This window comes from Homo sapiens, chromosome 6 (assembly GCF_000001405.40).
Source record: "Homo sapiens chromosome 6, GRCh38.p14 Primary Assembly".
Classification (NCBI taxonomy): domain Eukaryota; kingdom Metazoa; phylum Chordata; class Mammalia; order Primates; family Hominidae; genus Homo; species Homo sapiens.
The window spans coordinates 111487610-111506174 of NC_000006.12; the positions used below are offsets into that span (position 1 = coordinate 111487610).

The following is an 18565-nucleotide window of genomic DNA, read 5'->3' on the forward strand; positions in this document are numbered from 1 at the left end:
AATATAAGAGCATTTCAATTGTATGTGGAATCACCAAAATTATACAATTCATAGCTTGTAAATGCATATGTATTTTGTGCTATCAGAGCAGTGTAAACTCTGCACAAAACAAAACTATTTTTGTTTTCCTTCTTGATATGCACACATTCTACCAACATTCTCCATCTTCTGCTTACTGATGAGTAAGGAAGGATGAAAGGAAAGGGAGTGCTGAGTTGCCCTACTTTCCCTTTCATTCTTTGTCATCATTTTTTGTGTAAATGGTTGGCTAATAGTGGTAAGTAACACATGAGTAAGGAAGGATGTGATGTAATCACTTGTGTTTCTTAAAGATGCTGTTGCCTTCTTTCTGCACCTGAAGCAAGTTCGGATTTGAATGAAAAGTGTAGCCTCTTGGAACTGTCTATGCCTCCACTAACTCAGTCATAGATGTTACATGCTTGTTTTGTATTAACTTTGTTACTCTCTTGAGTTCCTGCACCTCATAGGTCCACCAGAATCCTTTGTCATGAGGCATCATGGAGACCATATGCAAATAGAACGGCAAGGAAGAAAGGATACATACCTCTGCTTGCATATTATGCTCTGCTATACCACTGGACTTACAAAACAGATAGTCAAACATAAAAGTATTACAATTTTCAAGACAGTGACTACAGAGCATTAAACCAAGCACTGGGCCCTGTGTGACTATACTTGTCGCATGTTCATGAAGTTGATGGCTCTGAGCGCTTGGGTTTCTCAAATGGGGCTTCTGGCATTTTTGGTGAAACAGTTTTTCATTGTGCAGGACATTTAACATCCCTGGCCCCCATGCACTACATGCCACTGTAACAATAAAAAATTCCCCATGTATTTCTAAATGTCCCCAAAGAGGAGTTGCTGCTCTCCACTAAACTCCTAGAGTGACCTCCACTGTGTACAGCTATGAACCATGAGCACTACAGAGTTGAGTTAAAAAGGATTTCAAATTCTCATATCCCGGAAAGCAGAATTATGATGACTTTTTTCGTATTGTCAAATAAATAATACCACCTACATTGATGATGAAACAAATATTTGAGATAACAATTTAAAGGTGGTTAGTGGGTTCTATGTGTCACATGTAAATGGTAGTTGACTCCAGATAGATGGCAATTTCTGATAGTTTAAAAAAAAAAAGAAAAGAGCAGAGCACCACAGAAAAGCAAAGAGAACCATCTTACCTTCATTATCTTCATCAGGTAGCCCCCAGGAAAAACTAAGAAAGTTGTCATAATAAGATATGCTACTCTTATTACATTGGATTTGGAATTTAGTTTTATCATATCTATTTTTTTTTAAGGTATAGTTCTTCATTTAAGAATATTAACTGTCAGGGCCAGGCACAGTGGCTCAACTCTGTAATCACAGCACTTTGGGAGACCAATGCGGGAGGATTGCCTGAGCCCAGGAGTTCGAGACCAGGCTGGGCAACGTGGCAAAAATCCATCTCTACCAGAAATACAAAAATTAGCTGGGTGCGATGGTGCATGCCTGTAGTCCCAGCTACTTGGGGGCTGAGGTGGAAGGATAGCTTGAGCTTGGGGAGGTCAAGGCTGCAGTGAGCCTTGAGCCTCATGAGCATAGGATTCTGGTGGACCTATGAGGTGCGAGAACTCAAAAGAGTAATAAAGTTAATATAAGACAAACGTACATCTATGACTGAGTTAGTGGAGTCATAGTGTTGCCACTGTACTGCAGCCTGGGCAACAGAGTGAGACCCTGTCTCAAAAAAAAAAAAAAAATCATTTCATCAAAAGTGAATTCATTAAAAAAGTGTACCAAGAATACATTCATTGGCCAGGCACGATGGCTCACACCTGTAATCCCAGCACTTTGGGAGGCAGAGGTGGGAGGATTGCTTGAGCCCAGGAGTTTAAGACCAGCCTAGGCAACATGGTGAAACCCTGTGGGACTGAGAGGCTGCTTGGTTGAGAGGTGGGAGGATCACTTGAGCCCGAGAGGTCAAGGTTGCCGCACCACTGCACTCCAGCCTGGGTGGTAGAGCAAGATCATGTCTCAAAAAAAAAAAAAAAAAAAGAATACATTCATTAAATATATTGAGGTGAATATTCTCTAAAACAAGTATTTGGTAAATATAGCAAACTGATTCGTTGGCAAATTACCTTTTAGCAAATTGGACTGCTTTCCATCCCTATTAGGGATATTATAAGGATTAAATGAAGTATTGCCAAAAATACTTAGCACAATCTGAATACACTTTAGCTGTAATCCCCCCCGCCAACATTCATACTTCAAGTCCTGCCTATTCTTTCTCCTGAATATTCCCCATTTTTGTCCACAGAATCATTGTCCTTTTGTAGCCTTTCACTAGCTTTAGGTATACTATTGCAGTAGTCACTTGATTGGTCTCTTGGCTTATTCCCCACTAATTTTATTTTCTACTGTACTGCAAGGGTGATCTGTGTACCACATAAATTTTAAGTTATCGTCTATGTCAAATTATCATCTATTGCCATAAAAACAGTGTTTATGGCATACCAACTTCATGATTTGGCCTAGATAGATATTCGGCTTCATACCTTTTCACCTTTTCCATTTATCTTCTAGCACCTCTGAGGTATTATAGCTTCGTAAACATGCCATTCTTTTTGAAAAACTATCAAATCTCTGTGCATTTGCCTTTCTAACTGGCATAGTACATTTTCCCTTCTTGCCTCCTGGCAAAATTCTTATTTATCTTTCAAGTTTTAGCTCAAATGCCACTTCCTTGTAAAGGTTTCCCTGATTTCCTCAAACAGATTTAGGTGTTATTTCTAGCCTTCCACTTCTCTTTGTATGTGCTTCTATTATAATGCTTATATTATTGTAGTTGTTTGTTAGTCTGTCAGTTTAATAGACTGTTATCTTCTTGAAGGAGCAGACCATATCTTTTCATCTTTTATATACTAGATCCAAGTATAATGCCTAGAATATAAGTTATCAACATTTATTGAATTAAAAAAATTTAAAAATCTGTTTACAACTCTCTCTACTGCCTGCCCAACACCCCTCCGTTACATATCAGTAAGCTAAGGTCCAAAGAAATAAAGCTGTTTAGTGGGAACTCATGCCTCCAAACTCTAGATTTATTACTTTTACTCCTATACTTAGAGAATCTTCTGAGCTGCGGCTATGTAAGTAGTCATTTCTATGGTAAGAAAGACTGTCTTGTCACTGTTTTTTCATTCATCTTTAAGGAGAAGGTAGAAGGGCATAGTGATTTGACAAGAGTGGCAGTATTTTCTTTCTTATTCAATCATTTAGATACTTTGTTTTCTAGTAAATTTGGTAGAGTTCAAGCTAAATTTTTTTTTTTTTTTTTTTTTTTTTTTAGAAATTATTTTAATAGAGATGAGGTCTCACTATATTGCCCAAGCTGGTCTCGAACTCCTGGGCTCAAGCGATCTTCCTGCCTCAGCCTCCCAAAGTGCTGAGATAACAGGTATGAGCCACCATGCCCTGCGAAATTATTCTTTTTGAGACAGAGTGAGACTCTGTCACCCAGGCTGGGGTGCAGTGACCCAATCTCAACTCACTGCAGTCTTGACTTCCCAGGCTCAAGCAATCCTCCCACCTCAGCCTCCTGAGTAGCTGGGACTACAGGCGTGCACCTCTACACCCAGCTATTTTTCATATTTTTTTGGAGACAGGGTTTCACTATATTGCCCAGGCTGGTCTCGAACTCCTGAGCTCAAGTGATCTGCCTGCCTTGGCCTCCCAAAGTGCTGGGATTACAGGTGTGAGCCATGGCGCCCAGCCTCAAGCTAAATTATTCTTTGTGTCATCCCTTTTCTTTCCTTCACTTTCAGATAACTCAGTTTTCTTAACTACTGTAGGGCAAATGTCTGAGTCATTTAGTTCAGTGTTCCTCAACCAGGGGTGATTTTTGCCGCCCTAGGGGACATTTGGCAAAATATCTGGAGGCATTTTTGATTATCACATCTTACAATGCATAGGGCAGCCCCTGCAGCGCAAAGAATTATCAGGTCCAAAGTGTCAATAGTGCAGGTGTTGAAAAACCCTGGCCTAGTTTAAAGTAAATTTGTACCCAGCCCTTCATCCAGTCTCTTGCCTTTATGAAACCATGATGGAAAAGAAACTCATTCCCTTTCAGAGGCATTTGGAAGGCCTAAGTAAGTACGGCAAACTTTGGAGTCAATTGCATCAACCATACAAAGTCCCAAAAGGCTTTATATGCAGGTTTCTGCAATTTCTCCATAGAACCTTCCTGGGTACAAGGTAGGCACATAAATATTTGTTGCCTAAATGAATAATAATAAAATAATTCTTGGCTAAAAGACATATTTTATTTCTTTCTCTTTAAACCAAAGTCAGATTTATCATGTGGTGAGAGATGAATTTCCTGAACAGAGATCTCTCTATTCATTTTAACCAATTAATTTACTCAGTTACTCAGAGAAGCAAAACTTTTCTGAAACAACTTCCACTTCCATAAGTTAGCAGTAATAGTCTTAAGGAAGGAATTGATAGCCTATAAATTAAAGATGATGTTTGAGGAACAAGAAATAAAAGAAACTTTCAGAATAGAGTAATATTAGAACTGATGCCTGAGCTTTCCAGGACCCTCATTTAAATTACATATCCAGAATTGATATTGGAGCATTTCCAATGGATTATATTATAGATAGGCAGGAGGAGACCAAACACACATAGAGTAAGGATAGATAAAATTCCCAATTTAAATAATTAAGATGCAAAATCTCAGAAGCTAGGTATCTATTTGGATCAACATATCTCAGGGTAGTTTCCCCTGGCCCCAAAGTTTATTGCATTTTAATATTCACAGTGTAAATCACATTCCAGAAAAACTCCCACTAAAAAGCTTTTTACTGAGACTGGGCAGGGTGGCTCATGCCTGTAATCCCAGTACTTTGGAAGACCAAGGTGAGATTATTGCTTGAGCCCAGAAGTTTGAGACCAGCTTGGGCAACATAGTGAGACCTTGTCGCTACAAAAAATTAACAATTAGCCAGGCGTGGTGATGTATGCCTGTAGTCCCACTTACTCAGGAGGCTGAGGCAGGAGGATCACTGGAGCCTAGGAAGTTGAAGCTGCAGTGAGCCATGATCACCACTGCACTCCAGCCTGGGTCACAGAGCAAGACCCTGTCTCAAAAAACACACACACAGAAAACTTTGTTATTGACACTGGATTCTCCTAGATTTTGCTTTATTTTACATCCTCATTCCAGAGGCCAGAAAAGACTACTTATTCTCAGATGTGTAAATATAGATAAGTCCTTCTGTTTCTTCATTTTCTCAATAAAATGTATTTTTCCAATTTTAAAAGTTTTTAAATGCATAGCATGGAAAACATGGAGGACAATAAAGAAAAATATAGAACATTCAGTCTCACCCAGTGGAAGTCATGATTAACATTCTAGTCCATTCTGTTTCTAGAAAATTTTTCTGTAAATATATTACATAGAGAAAATAATGTCCTAGTTTTTTCACTTTGCATCATAACAAGCATTTTCCATGTAAATTAAAACTCTTCATATACATTGTTTTAATGGCTGCAAAATATGCTGTGTTGTGGACATATGATAATTTACCTAACCATTTTCCCACTGTTGGCCAACAACAGAATGGTTCAAATTTTACATTATCTTGTATATCACACTGAGCATTTTTAGGCTGAAAATTTTGCTCCATTTTGGATCCTATCCTGAATTTTTCAAGGAACTTACTTTCTAGTTCACTATTTGATATCACCAGTTCTTGGTACATACCATGTTCTTTCTACACAGAAGAGAGAATTGCATGTGATACTCATTCTGCCTGGTTTGCTCTTCCTTTCCCTGTCTCTTTTTGCCAAGTTAACCCACTCTTTTCTTTCTTAAAGATTTCAGTAAGTAGGAGTAGAGACCTTCCTGTGTCAGTACTTAGTCAAAATATAAAATTGGAATAGGAAGAAGATTTTTTAATAGAGGTTTTTTTGTTGTTTGCTTTTTTTACTTGAAGTTCCGGGATACATGTGCAGAATGTGCAGGTTTGTTACTTAGGTATACATGTGCCATGGTGGTTTGCTGCACCTATCAACCCATCATCTAGCTTTTAAGCCCCGCATGCATTAGGTATTTGTCCTAATGCTCTCCCTCCCCTTGTCCCCCACCCCCCAACAGGCCCCGGTGTGTGTTGTTCCCCTCCTTGTGTCCATGTGTTTTCGTTGTTAATAGAGGTTTCAAAGATTATAATTACACCAGCTTAACTGTTATCTCTTCACTCAGTCACCTATTTATTTAATTTAATTAATTTATTTATTTATTTATTTATTTATTTATTTTTGAGACAGAGTCTCACTCTGTCACCCAGGCTAGAGTGCAGTTGCACATTCTTGGCTCACTGCAACCTCTGCCTCCCGAGTTCAAGCGATTCTCCTGCCTCAGCCTCCCAGATAGCTGGGATTACAGGTGCCCGCCACCACACCCAGCTAATTTTTGTATTTTTAGTAGAGACGGGGTTTCACCATGTTTGGCCAGTGTAGTCTCAAATTCCTGACCTCAGGTGATCTGCCCGCCTCGGCCTCCCAAAGTGCTGGGATTACAGGCACGAGCCACCATGCCTGGCCCAGTCGCCTATATTAAACATGCATTTTATTGCTCAATTCTAAGCTTTTTGTATTATTTTAACTTTTTATTAACTCACTGATATTTATAAAATTCTATGTTAAACGATGTGGTTGATTTTTTTTTTTTAAGAGTAAGACATGGTCCTGGACTCCAGTATTATGTAATTGACCAATAAACTGTAAGTTTCTTGACATTAGGAATCATATTCTACATTTCCTTTTTTCTTTTAAGACAGGGTCTTGCTTTGTTGCCCAGGCTGGAGTGCGGTGGTGCAATCACACTTCACTGCAGCCTTGACCTCCTGGGCCTAAGCGATCCTCTCACCTCAGCCTCCTAAGTAACCGGGGCCACAGACGTGCGCTACTGCTCCTGGCGAATTTTTTTTTTTTTTTTTTTTTTTTTTTTTTTTTTTGAGAATGATTCTTGCTCTGTCACCCAGGCTGGAGTGCAGTGGTGCGATCTTGGCTCACTGCAAGCTCTGCCTCCCGGGTTCACACCATTCTCCTGCCTCAGCCTCCTGAGTAGCTGGGACTATGGGCTCCTGCCACCAGTTTTTTTATTTTTGTAGAGATGGAGTCTCCCAATGTTGCCCAGGCTGGTCTTAAACTCCTAGGCTCAAGGGATCCTCCCAGCTGGGCCTCCCAAAGTGCTGGGATGATAGGCATGAACCACCATTCCCAGCCCATTTCCTTTTTCCCTTTGCACAGTACCAGATATATGGTTGGTACTGCAGAAATAATTTCCCCCTGCCCTCTACATTGATCATTTGATGACCAAATAGTGTCCGTCTAGCCACTTATTTATGATTTGTACAAAACATTCCGCTTTCTGAGGTAGACAGTGATATTCTGAAGCCATCAGTAAGAGTAATTTTCAGTTTGTTGAAAGTGAACATTCTTTGTGTAAAGGTCAGCCTGTCAGGAAATAGCATGCTACTCTGTTCTTTTAAGATTATTTTTAAAACCTTTGAATATGTGTGTTTTTACACTTTAAAAAAAAAAAAGTAGTGAGAAACTATACCTAGTGGTCTCACCAGATGTTTTCAAATCAGAACTGGGGCAATCTAGTTGTAATTTATTTTCACAAATTTATGAGAATAAGAGCTGATATTTTTCTTGCTTGAATTAGCAGGTAATTTCATTCTCCATTCCTCTTTAGTGGGGAAAATCTAGCCTTTGGATGAAAATGTGAACCAGAGGTTCTTGCCAAGTCTGCAAAGCAGTATAAAGATTAGTTTTATGAATGAAGGAAAACACTACTCATTTTTCTTAGGAGGCTGCTTACTTCTGCATTTGTATAACATGTTTTTAGACTGAAAGCTCATAGAGAAAAGAGAAGGATCCTCATTCTAGAATATCTGCTCCCCTGTACTTAGCATATTCATAGTCTTTCAAGACTTAATTTATTAAAGATGTTAAAGACTTTGACACTTGGCTTACAGTCTTTCTCCTTCACCTGAATTCCTGCCCTCATCCTGAGTAAATTCATCACCCAAGTAGACAGCCCATCTAATACTGTTGGGAAGGGAAGGTTATACCGTGTTATGGATTAATCTCTACCTTATGCCAAAGTATGGTGTTATAATTCTCCTTTGCATACCCAAAATTAACAATAGGCTGAATCATTTGATTATCATTCCCTTTGACTCTAACATAGCTTTTATCCTTTCCTGTTTTGCTTTACAGTTTTGGGTCTAGTTCATCTGATAAGGTACATTTCTAATATTTTTTAAAATTAATATTTATTCAATCAAAAAGAGCATGTCTTAGACATCATGGGATGAAATGATAACTGAAGGAAAATAACTCCTAAAAATAGTCACCCTATTTAAAGAGGCTTTTGTAAATCAAAGTAGTCTCTAGTTGTAATTCAGGGCCAGAGGTCTTAGGCCCAGGTCCCTTGAGTTTTTTCATTCTTGAGTTTCCCAGCTTCTCCCTTCTGCTCTCAAAGATTGTCTAAAAACATACCCCTTTTTTCCCCTGTAGTAGCAGGGAAAACAGCACTATTCGGGTGGGGAATAGTGATGGGGCTTATTGGTATATATAGGTCATTTATTGAATAATAGTAGAGCATTCTGGTGTTTAAACTCTGCAGCCCAATTTCCCTACTTACCTGCTCCATAACTTGGGCAAATTACTTTCTGTGCCTCATTTTTCCTGTCTGTAATAAACAGATAATAATAGTAGTACCTACCTCTTAGTGTTGTTGTGAAGATTGAATTACATATATTAAATGAGTTAACACCTTAGACTGCTAAGCACTCAATAACAGTAAGCTATTCACAATTTAGAGGCAGCTTCTCCATTTCCTAAAATATACTTATTCATCAAGAAGAATGATGTAATAGTGAAAGGTAGGAGTTTTAAAAATTCCGTTGATTGGATGTAAAAAGTAGATTCTTAGAATTTCAAATAACCCAAGAAATTATTTATACCATTGGTTCTTAACCAGTAATATGCATCAGAATCATTTATGAGACGTTGTAAAGATACATTTATCTAGGCCCTTTCTTCTCATATCTACCAAGTCAGAATGCCCACAGGCAATTCCAGTGCAGTCTTCCTGTCAAGACCATTGAAATAATCCAAGTCTTTAGATTTTATAATGAAGAAATTGAGACTCAGAGAAAGTAAATGACTTGCCTAAGACCCCATAGAGTAAGTGAGATCCAGGTTACCTACCTCCTTGGTAAGCGATCTTCCTATTCTTCTGTGTTGCCACCAAATATATTAACTTTTAAAGAACCTAATATGAGAACTTATCCTTCTGTCAGTTATATCAGGAAGAATAATATAGGCTTTAAAACTTACTTCATTCAGCATTTAAATCAAAATAACAAAATTCCGGCCAGGTATGGTGGCTTACATCTGTAATCTCAGCACTTTGGGAGGCTGAGGTGGGAGAATCCCTTGAAGCCAGGAGTTTGAGACCAGCCTGGACAACATAGTGAGACTCTATCTCCATAAATAATAATAAAAAAACTAGCCAGGTGTGGTGGTGTGCACCTGTGGTCCCAGCTACTGGGGAGGCTGAGGTGGAAGGATTGCTTGAGCCCAGGAGATCAAGGCTGCAGTGAGCCATGATCACACCGCTGCACTCCAGCCTGGGAAACAGAGTGAGATCGTGTCAAAAAAAAATTTTTTTTTAATTTTTACAATTTATTCAGAGGACTATTGCACCTGTACAGAAGAACTTAAAGTGAATTTTGCTGTCTTTTTCATGAGGACATTAGTCTTTGCCACAATGCTTACTACTAATGAGTACAAGAAAACGCTGTGTGGGACAGAGTTGCTCGATCCAACCTCACAGATTGACAGGCAAACAAATGTTTTATAGGGCAAGGTAGCTGTTGGAATTAAACTTTTTAGGATTTTTGATAACAGAATATGTACTTCTCATAATTAGGGTTTTTTAAACATTTTTAAGGATTTTTAAACTTTTATAAAATCTCAGAATTTTCTAGTCTGTGAACAGTTCATGTAGAAAAATCAGTGGTTATTATGTACACTGTTATTGCAGCTTCGCTGAAAGATTAAAAATCTAAAAAATACAGTAAAAATAAGTTCTGAGTTTTTGTATTGATGTTGGGTGCTGTGATGTTATCTCTTTTAAAATGTGTTTTTCTTTTTCCATAATATAAAGGAATCAAAAAATACAACTTGTATGTGAACTTGTGCAAATGTGTGAAACAAATTAAGGTGACAGGGCAGAAGCAACAAAATGAAGCTCAAATGAAATCCACCTCTCAAAGCAGGTTCTATTTAATTTCTCTATATTTGCTATTATAAATTTTTTATTTTCATATATGTGTTTCTTTGCTAGAGATGATAATTGGATGCCAACCTAACTTCCAATTTTTAGGTGATTATTTTACCAACAAACCACTCACCTTGATGAGTGCACTGCATGGCCCCCGCTCCAAAGTCCACCATTCAGATCCTCATCAATATGTTATGACGACTGTTGCCTTTACTGTGTCTCTGCCTGATTCCATACCCTTTGCTCTACATTTCATCTCAGGTTCTGTCTTTTGGACCTTTTCACTTGATGCTTGTTCCTGGCATTTGAATCTCCATTCAACCTGATGATCTTTGATTTAGACTCACCATCCAGTTCCAAGCTGCCAGGATTTATTACCCTCTGATTTCAGCAGCTCAGAAATCCCTGGCACAGTCACAGGCTGGCTACCTCAAGGGACCAGCCCCAAACACTAGTGCTGTATTATAAACATCCATTTATTCATCTTTTTAACAGATTTTACTTATTGCCCACTATGTATAAGGCACTACAGAAGTTTCTGGGGATATAGAAGATTAGTGGCAGAAAGCTCTTAAGTCTCTTAAAATCTGGTAGGACAAATAATACAACTACATAATTATAATTTAAGATAGTATGTGTTCAACTACTAGAAGTTATATATACGAACAGGACAGTAATTAACAAAAGCTTCAAATAGATCCTTAAGTAATTAAGGAGCATAGGGTACGAGGATACGTTACCAATAACCTAGAGTGGTAGGTCACTGACAGGTGGCATCTTAACTAGATTTTGACGGTAAGATAGGGGAGACATCATGGAAGACAGATACTACAAAAACTGGAACCAACAAGAACAGGAAAAATGTTATGTTAAACCTTATTTATCCAGACTGACAGTGTAATGAGGAGTGGAAGAAAGCTTAGAAAAATTGGTTAGAACCAAGTTCTGGAAGGCTTTGAATGGTGAAGAGTTTAGAGTTGGCGAGCATGTATTGGACAGTCAGAAGGTTTTGAGCAGGAAATGAAATGATAATTGGCTTGATTTAGCAGTGGTATGTAGGAAGGATTTGGTGGTGAGGTGATATGCAGGCAGAGACTGTAAGCTAGTAATTTAAAGTAGGGGAGGGTCTGGAGATGACTTTCTTCATGTCATTAAATCTTGTTATTTGTGAGGTGCTGAGCTAGGTGCTGGGGAAAGAGTGAGAACTAGATCCTTGCCATGAGGGAGTTTTCAGTCTAGTGAGAGACTTGATATCTTAAAGCCTCCTTGAGGGGTCTCTATCCAAAATTTGGTACTCTGCTTCTGACTCTTGCCTGATTACTAGGTGATTAGATCCTCAGTTTACAATGGGCTGTGTTTCCTACCCTCTCAAACTGCTTTTCCATTTTTTGTGTCAGCTAAGGCAAAAATATTGCAACCACTTGTATATGGAGAAAAGCAATTTATTACTTAAAACAAGATAAGACATGAATACTGCACCAGATAAGGCAAAGAAGAAAATGACATGTGTCTTAAAGAGATAACTGAAGATGATGTGGAGAATGAATTGGAGGTTATGTTAGGGGCAAGAAAACTAGTTAAGAGGCTGTCGTAGTAATCTACCTGCTTAATTAAGAGGGCCTGAACTAAGACAATGTGAAAGAAAAGGAGTCCTTGGTGGCTACTTCCACCATAATCCTTTCTGTCTCTCCCTTGGTACAACGAAGGGATAGATAGGTGACTCTCATTTGGAATTGACTTTTGAACTGAGGGATTCAAAAACAACAAACACTCAGTTTACTTCAGACTTAGGGGTAATGCTCCTACTGTCAAGTAGTCTAGTTTCTGGTTATCTTTTTATTTGGAACATGGTTCTGCAGTCTTTAGTGAGCTTCCTGATAAATCTTTCTTTTGCATTAGTTAGACTGTTAGTTACTAGTGGTTACAGTATTAAAAACAACACAAAACAAAACAAAAACTACCCTAATTGACATTGTATGTGATATTTGAAGCACTTATGGATAACTAGGAGAAAACTGTTAGGGAGTTGGAAATATGGAACTAGAAGTGTGGTTCTCAAGGTGTGGTCACTGATGCAGCATCAGCATCACCTGGGAACTTACTAAAAATGAAAATTAACAGGTCCCATCCCAGACTTACTGAATAGGAAACTGGGAGTGAGGCCCCAGCAATCTGAATATTAACAAGCCGTCCAAGTGATTCTGATGCACACTGCAGTTTGAGGACCAACTGAACTAGAGCTTGAAATAGAGATTAGGAGTAGAAATAAAGATGTGTAAGTCAGATACATAACAGTCACTCTTGAGAGAATGAATAAACTCCCTAGAAGAGTGGAAGAGAGAAGATGAGCCCTTGAAGTAAATGGAACAATCAAAGAAATAAAAACTAGTGGAGTACAATAAAAGCGGGAGAAATTTAACAGTGGTATGAAATGACCTATAGTGTCAGGTGCTGTACAGAGGCCAGCATGGATGAGGATCATGCCAAAGCTGTAAGACTGACCATTAGGAGAATTTTGGTGTCAGTTAAAAGAGAAGTGGTACAGATAAGAGTAAATGCAAAGGAATACAAGCAAAAACTAAAGGATACTTTTTGCAGCAGTTTGGGAATACAACAAAGGGACTTAGAATAATATGGTCAGGATGAGGTTTTTCAGGGTAGATGCATCATTTAGGTTTTGCTGTATAACAAACACTCTAAAGTGGCTTAAGACAATAATTATTATTATAGCTCACATGTCTGAGGGTTGGCTCCTCCCAGCTGGGCTTGCTCATACATCAGCAGACCTACTGGGAGCTTTGCTCTAGGCTGGACACTTACCTATCATCCTCCTTCTGTGACTGTCCAGCTCACTTAGGCATATCTTTCTCATGAAGATGGAAGAAGTGTTGAAGAGGGCAAACAGAGGCTGGGCGCGGTGGCTCACACCTATAATCCCAGCACTTTAGGAGGCCGAGGCGGGCGGATCACCTGAGGTCAGGAGTTCGAGACCAGCCTGGCCAAAATGGTAAAACCCCGTCTCTACTAAAAATACAAAACGTAGCCGGGTGTGGTGGCACATGCCTGTAGTCCCAGCTGCTCGGGAGGCTGAGGCAGGAGAATCACCTGAACCTGTTTGCGCCACTGCACTCCAGCCTGGGCGACAGAGTGAGACTCTCCCAAAAAAAGAAAAAAAAATTGGGGGTGGCGGCAAACACAAACACATGGACTCCAAACTGACACTAGCACTTCTCCCTCATTCTAGTGACCAAAGCAATTTATGTGGCCAAGCCCGTATTCAAGGAGCAGAGAAACAGAATTCTCCTCTTTAGAGAACTTGCAAAGTGACATGGCAAAGGGCATGGATTCATAGAGGGATGAAGAATTGGGACGCTTAATACCACAGTAGGAGGCCAGGAGTGGTGACTCTTGCTTATAATCCCAACACTTTGAGAGGCCGAGATGGGAGGGCCCAGGAGTTTGAGACCAGTCTGGGCAACATAGGGAGACCCTGTCTCTCCAAAAAAAATTTAAAATTAGCCAGGTGTGATGGCACGTGCTTGTAGTCCCACCTACTGGGAAGGCTGAGGCGGGAGGATTGTTTGAGCCCAGGAATTTGAGGCTTCAGTGAGCTATGATTGCACCATTGCACTCTAGCATGGGAGGCAGCAAAGCAAGACCCTGTCTCAAAACAACACACAGTAGAGATGACCCGAACATGCTTGAAAGTACAAAGAAGGAATATGTAGAATGAGGAAGAAAGAGAAGTAAGGAGAAAGACAAATAAAAGTTCAGAGAATTAACCTTTGAAAACAGAAAAGATACTTCTGGGAATGGAAAGAAGGGAATTTGATTGGATTAAATTTAACAAATTAAAATCCAAGATGCCCAGTTAAAATTGAATTTTAGATGAACAATTTTTTTTAGTATTTAAGTATGTCTCATGCAATATTTGGCTCGGTACATTTGGTATTTTTTGTTATCTTAAATACTATTTACGTGTTTCTATATTTGGGACATAACTTTAAACTAAAATTTTTCTTTATTATTGTAAATTCAAATTTAACTAGGCATCCTGTATTTTATATGGCAACCCTACTTCGGATGAATTTTAAATAAATCCATGGTAAAGTAATCTATAAAGGGATAGATGGGTATATTCAGGGATTTAGTCCTAGAAAAAGTTCGGAACCGCTGCTATAGATGCTGTGTAGTGTCAGTGAAAGGATTGCTGAGCAGTAGTGAACTCACTTAAAAAGAAGCAGCATGACTTTTCTTGATTGAATCACTGCTAAGAAGAGTAATAGCAGAGATTGCTGGTACAAGGGACCACTTTGGTTTGGCTCTAGCTGGTGAGGACTGAGCAGGAGATTTGGGCATAATTGAAATGACTAGAGTCCAGGCTGTAAATGAAAGCAGGTGAAACCAGAAGATGAATTAGAAGGGACTGAGAGTTTGGCAGTCACAATGAGTCAAAGAGGTAGAAGTTCACAGGGAAGAAACTCAGAATTTACAATCTTGGAGGAATGGTTCTGTATGATAACGGGGTTAAAAATCCAATTTCACATTTACTTTTACTAAATTAAAAGTAAGAGCTCTGGAGACAAGATACTTGGTTTTGAATTCTGGTTGTGTGATCTTGGCCAAGTAATTTAACTTCCCTGTGTCTTCGCTCTTTATTTGAAAAATAGTAATAATGATGGTTCTTGGGGCCGGGCACAGTGGCTCATGTCTGTAATCCCAGCACTTTGGGAGGCTGAGGCAGGTGGATCACTTGAGGTCAGGAGGTCGAGACTAGCCTGGCGAACATGGTGAAACCCCGTCTCCACTAAAAATACAAAATTTAGCCAGGCATGGTGGCATGCGCCTGTAATCCCAGGTAGTTGGGAGGCTGAGGCAGGAGAATCGCTTGAACCTGGGAGGCAGAGGTTGCAGTGAGCCAAGATCACGCCATTGCACTCGAGCCCGGGCGACTGAGCGAGACTGTGTCTCAAAAAAAAAAAAAAAAAAATTGGTTCTTACCTCATAAGGTTATTGTGAAGATTAAATGAAATAAACCATGTGAAATACCAAGAACACTATGTCTGGTTAAGTGTATCTATAATCACTATATATGTGTGCCCTAGAGAATATTATTTTAAAGAAAAAATGGCAACAATACATTGTATATTTTCCTCCTTGGTAAGCTAACAAATGCTATGTTTGGTAAAAACAAACACAATTATCTACCTGTTGAAGCTCACACAACTTTTACTATTTAAGGTTGTTTTCTTTAACTGTTATTAGAAGAAAATAATTATGCTCAAGTCATATCTGTCTCATTTCCCTGTAGGTGACCATGCTTTGGGATTTTCATAGTTTGAGTAATTCCTATGGGCTCTACCACCCAGCGAGTTAAAGAAGACAAGATTCCACCCCCAGGGGGTTGTGGTTCTGGGAATGTGAGCAGCTTGTTTTCAGGAGATCTGCATCTTGATCTGGCCTGCTATTAGGATCTGTGGTGGTGGTGCCTGTCTGGTTTTAGTTGTTTCTTTTATCTTACACAGATTTTTGTAAGTTATTTGCATATAAAGGTTTTTGAAAAGTGAATGTTTTATGGGGGCATCTTGCTTATACAAAGAAAAATTAAAACTGTTTTAAAATAATCACTCGTGTTACACTTGTCTATTCTAAAATAAATGAAAGTATTAATGTTGTTGTCTGGAAGGAAAATGAAGACCAGGAAAATAGCTATGCTCTTAATGTTTTAAAATAAGGTAATATTATTCTCTGTTTGAATGGAGGCTTCTAAGGAATTACCACAGTCTCACACACAATCGACTTAAATGCATTCTTTATCTTTAAAAGGAAGCAGAATAGGATCATTGAGTAAATCACATGTGTTCACAGTCTTGTCTGGTGTAATCGTATACTACACAAACACATTATTCTGTAGTCAGGAGGGGAAGGGGACATTTGAAGCAGGACTTGCCCTTGAGGAGGCCTTTTTCTGTTTAAAGTATAGTGCAGTGAAAGACCACACAGTAGAAGATAACAAAATATCTTCCATGCCACCCCCACTTTTTCATTTTCTCATTCTCCTTTGTTCTCTAAGGACATCTGTTGAAATGATTATTCTGTAAAACTCATAGGTACCTAGCAGAAGCCATATCATATTTCATTTATTATTTTGTCTACTTAATTATTGTTTTCTTTTATATCATGCAATTGTGGGTTTTAAAAATATTCTGTTTATAAAAGATATGAAAGTATGTTATAGAAAATTTATTAGTTAACTGTAGATATCTAAAGAGTAAAAGTTTCAACTCTGAATTTAATAAAATTATATCTTAGGAAGCCCAGCAGACTTTTATTAAGCTACGTCTTAAAAAGATAAATATACTAAAAAGAGATACTTAAAAAGATGAATTTTCCTTTCTATATTAATTACAATGGATTTTTAGATAATATGGAAATATATAAAAGTAGTCAGTGTTTAGACATTTGAAAAATTAATGGGAATATATATTTTGCTGTATGGTTCTGAAAGTACTAATTGGTAATTGAATCATAAAATATCAGAGTTGAGATTAAAGAGCTAAAATTAAATAATATCTTCAGAGACTTAACAGAGATCTTTCATTTGTGCCAAATTTAGTAAGATTTGCCTCAATTCAGTTTTACTTATGGTGTATATTGATTCTTTAAAATGTCACGTGTATGGTGGCTCATGCCTGTAATCCCAGCACTTTGGGAGGCCAAGGCGGGCAGATCATGAGGTCAGGAGATATAGACCATCCTGCCTAACATGGTGAAACCCTGTCTCTACTAAAAATACAAAAAAAGGCCCGGCACAGTGGCTCATGCCTGTAATCCCAGCACTTTGGGAGGCCGAGGTGGGTGGATCACCTGAGGTCAGGAGTTTGAGACCAGCCTGGCCAACATGGCGAAACCCCATCTCTACTAAAAATACAAAAATTAGCCAGACATGGTGGCAAGCACCTATAATCCCAGCTACTTGGGAGGCTGAGGCGGGAGAATCACTTGAACCTGGAAGGTGGTGGTTGCAGTGAGCCAAGATTGTGCCACTGCACTCCAGCCTGGGCGACAGAGCGAGACTCCATCTCAAAAAAAAAAAAAAAAAGTCACATGTAACCATTTGAAAGGCATTCTTAATTGTGAACAATAGTTATGTGAGATTTTGGAAGATCCAATATAGATGCATTATTTCAAATGTTTTCAACATTTTGATAGTTGGTTTGCTGTCTATATTGTGGATGCAATTCAAAATTCAAGATTTTTCTTTTTATTAGAGGTTCTTTATTTACATTGCCACCCAATTTCAGCCTAAGTTGATCTTTTGTGGATTCATGGAATTTATGTTTGAAGAGTTTTAAAAAATTTTTTTAATGAAAAACTGTTAACATATACAGAAATAAAGCAAATAACATGAACCTCCAAGTTTTGTTTGAGTCTTTAGTAATATGTTAGTACAGGTACTGTGATTGTTGATGCAACAGATGTTCAGGAACTCAAAAAATGCTTGTTGCTTAATGTGCACTTGAAATAATTTGTCAGAGACTAGGATTGCAACCCTTGCTTTTTTTAGCTTTCCATTTTCTTGGTAGATCTTCCTCCATCCCTTTATTTTGAGCCTATGTGTGTCTCTGCATGTGAGATGGGTCTCCTGAATACAGCACACTGATGGGTCTTGACTCTTTATTCAATTTGCTAGTCTGTGTCTTTTAATTGGGGCATTTAGCCCATTTACATTTAAGGTTAATATTGTTATGTTTGAATTGGATCCTGTCATTATGATGTTAGCTGGTTATTTTGCCCATTAATTGATGCAGTTTCTTCATAGCATTGATGGTCTTTACAATTTGGCATGTTTTTGCAGTGGCTGGTACCGGTGTTCCTTTCTATGTTTAGTGCTTCCTTCAGGAGCTCTTGTAAGGCAAGCCTGGTGGTGACAAAATCTCTCAGCATTTGCTTGTCTGTAAAGGATTTTATCTGTCCTTCACTTATGAAGCTTAGTTTGGCTGGATATGAAATTCTGGGTTGAAAATTCTTTTCTTTAAGAATGTGTGAATATCGGCCCCCACTCTCTTCTGGATTGTAGGGTTTCTGCTGAGAGATCCACTGTTAGTCTGATGGGCTTCCGTTTGTGGGTAACCCAACCTTTCTCTCTGGCTGCCCTTAACATTTTTTCCTTCACTTCAACCTTGGTGA

At 38.6% G+C, this 18565-nt stretch overlaps 1 non-coding gene and 1 pseudogene across 4 annotated transcripts in view, besides 2 other annotated features; one reads left to right on the plus strand and one right to left on the minus strand.

Annotated features, from left to right (window-relative positions):
• The window catches only part of TRAF3IP2-AS1 (TRAF3IP2 antisense RNA 1), a 118824-nt gene that overhangs the window by 4138 nt on the left and 96121 nt on the right, over positions 1-18565 (plus strand). The window contains exon 4 of one of the 4 annotated variants that reach the window (NR_034111.1): positions 15687-15999. The exons of the other annotated variants lie outside the window; for them this stretch is intronic. This is a non-coding gene — a non-coding RNA (TRAF3IP2 antisense RNA 1). Of the gene's footprint in view, positions 1-15686; positions 16000-18565 lie in introns of those variants that run through there. 4 annotated transcript variants of the gene reach the window in all.
• Positions 411-510: an enhancer, noted in NCBI's record as "active region_24946". NCBI's record gives its function as "activates an Ori minimal core promoter by ATAC-STARR-seq in GM12878 lymphoblastoid cells {active_cell/tissue: GM12878}" and the evidence as "EXISTENCE:reporter gene assay evidence [ECO:0000049][PMID:35858748]".
• Positions 521-570: an enhancer, noted in NCBI's record as "active region_24947". NCBI's record gives its function as "activates an Ori minimal core promoter by ATAC-STARR-seq in GM12878 lymphoblastoid cells {active_cell/tissue: GM12878}" and the evidence as "EXISTENCE:reporter gene assay evidence [ECO:0000049][PMID:35858748]".
• LOC107986520 (uncharacterized) lies at positions 7379-8104 on the minus strand (annotated as a pseudogene).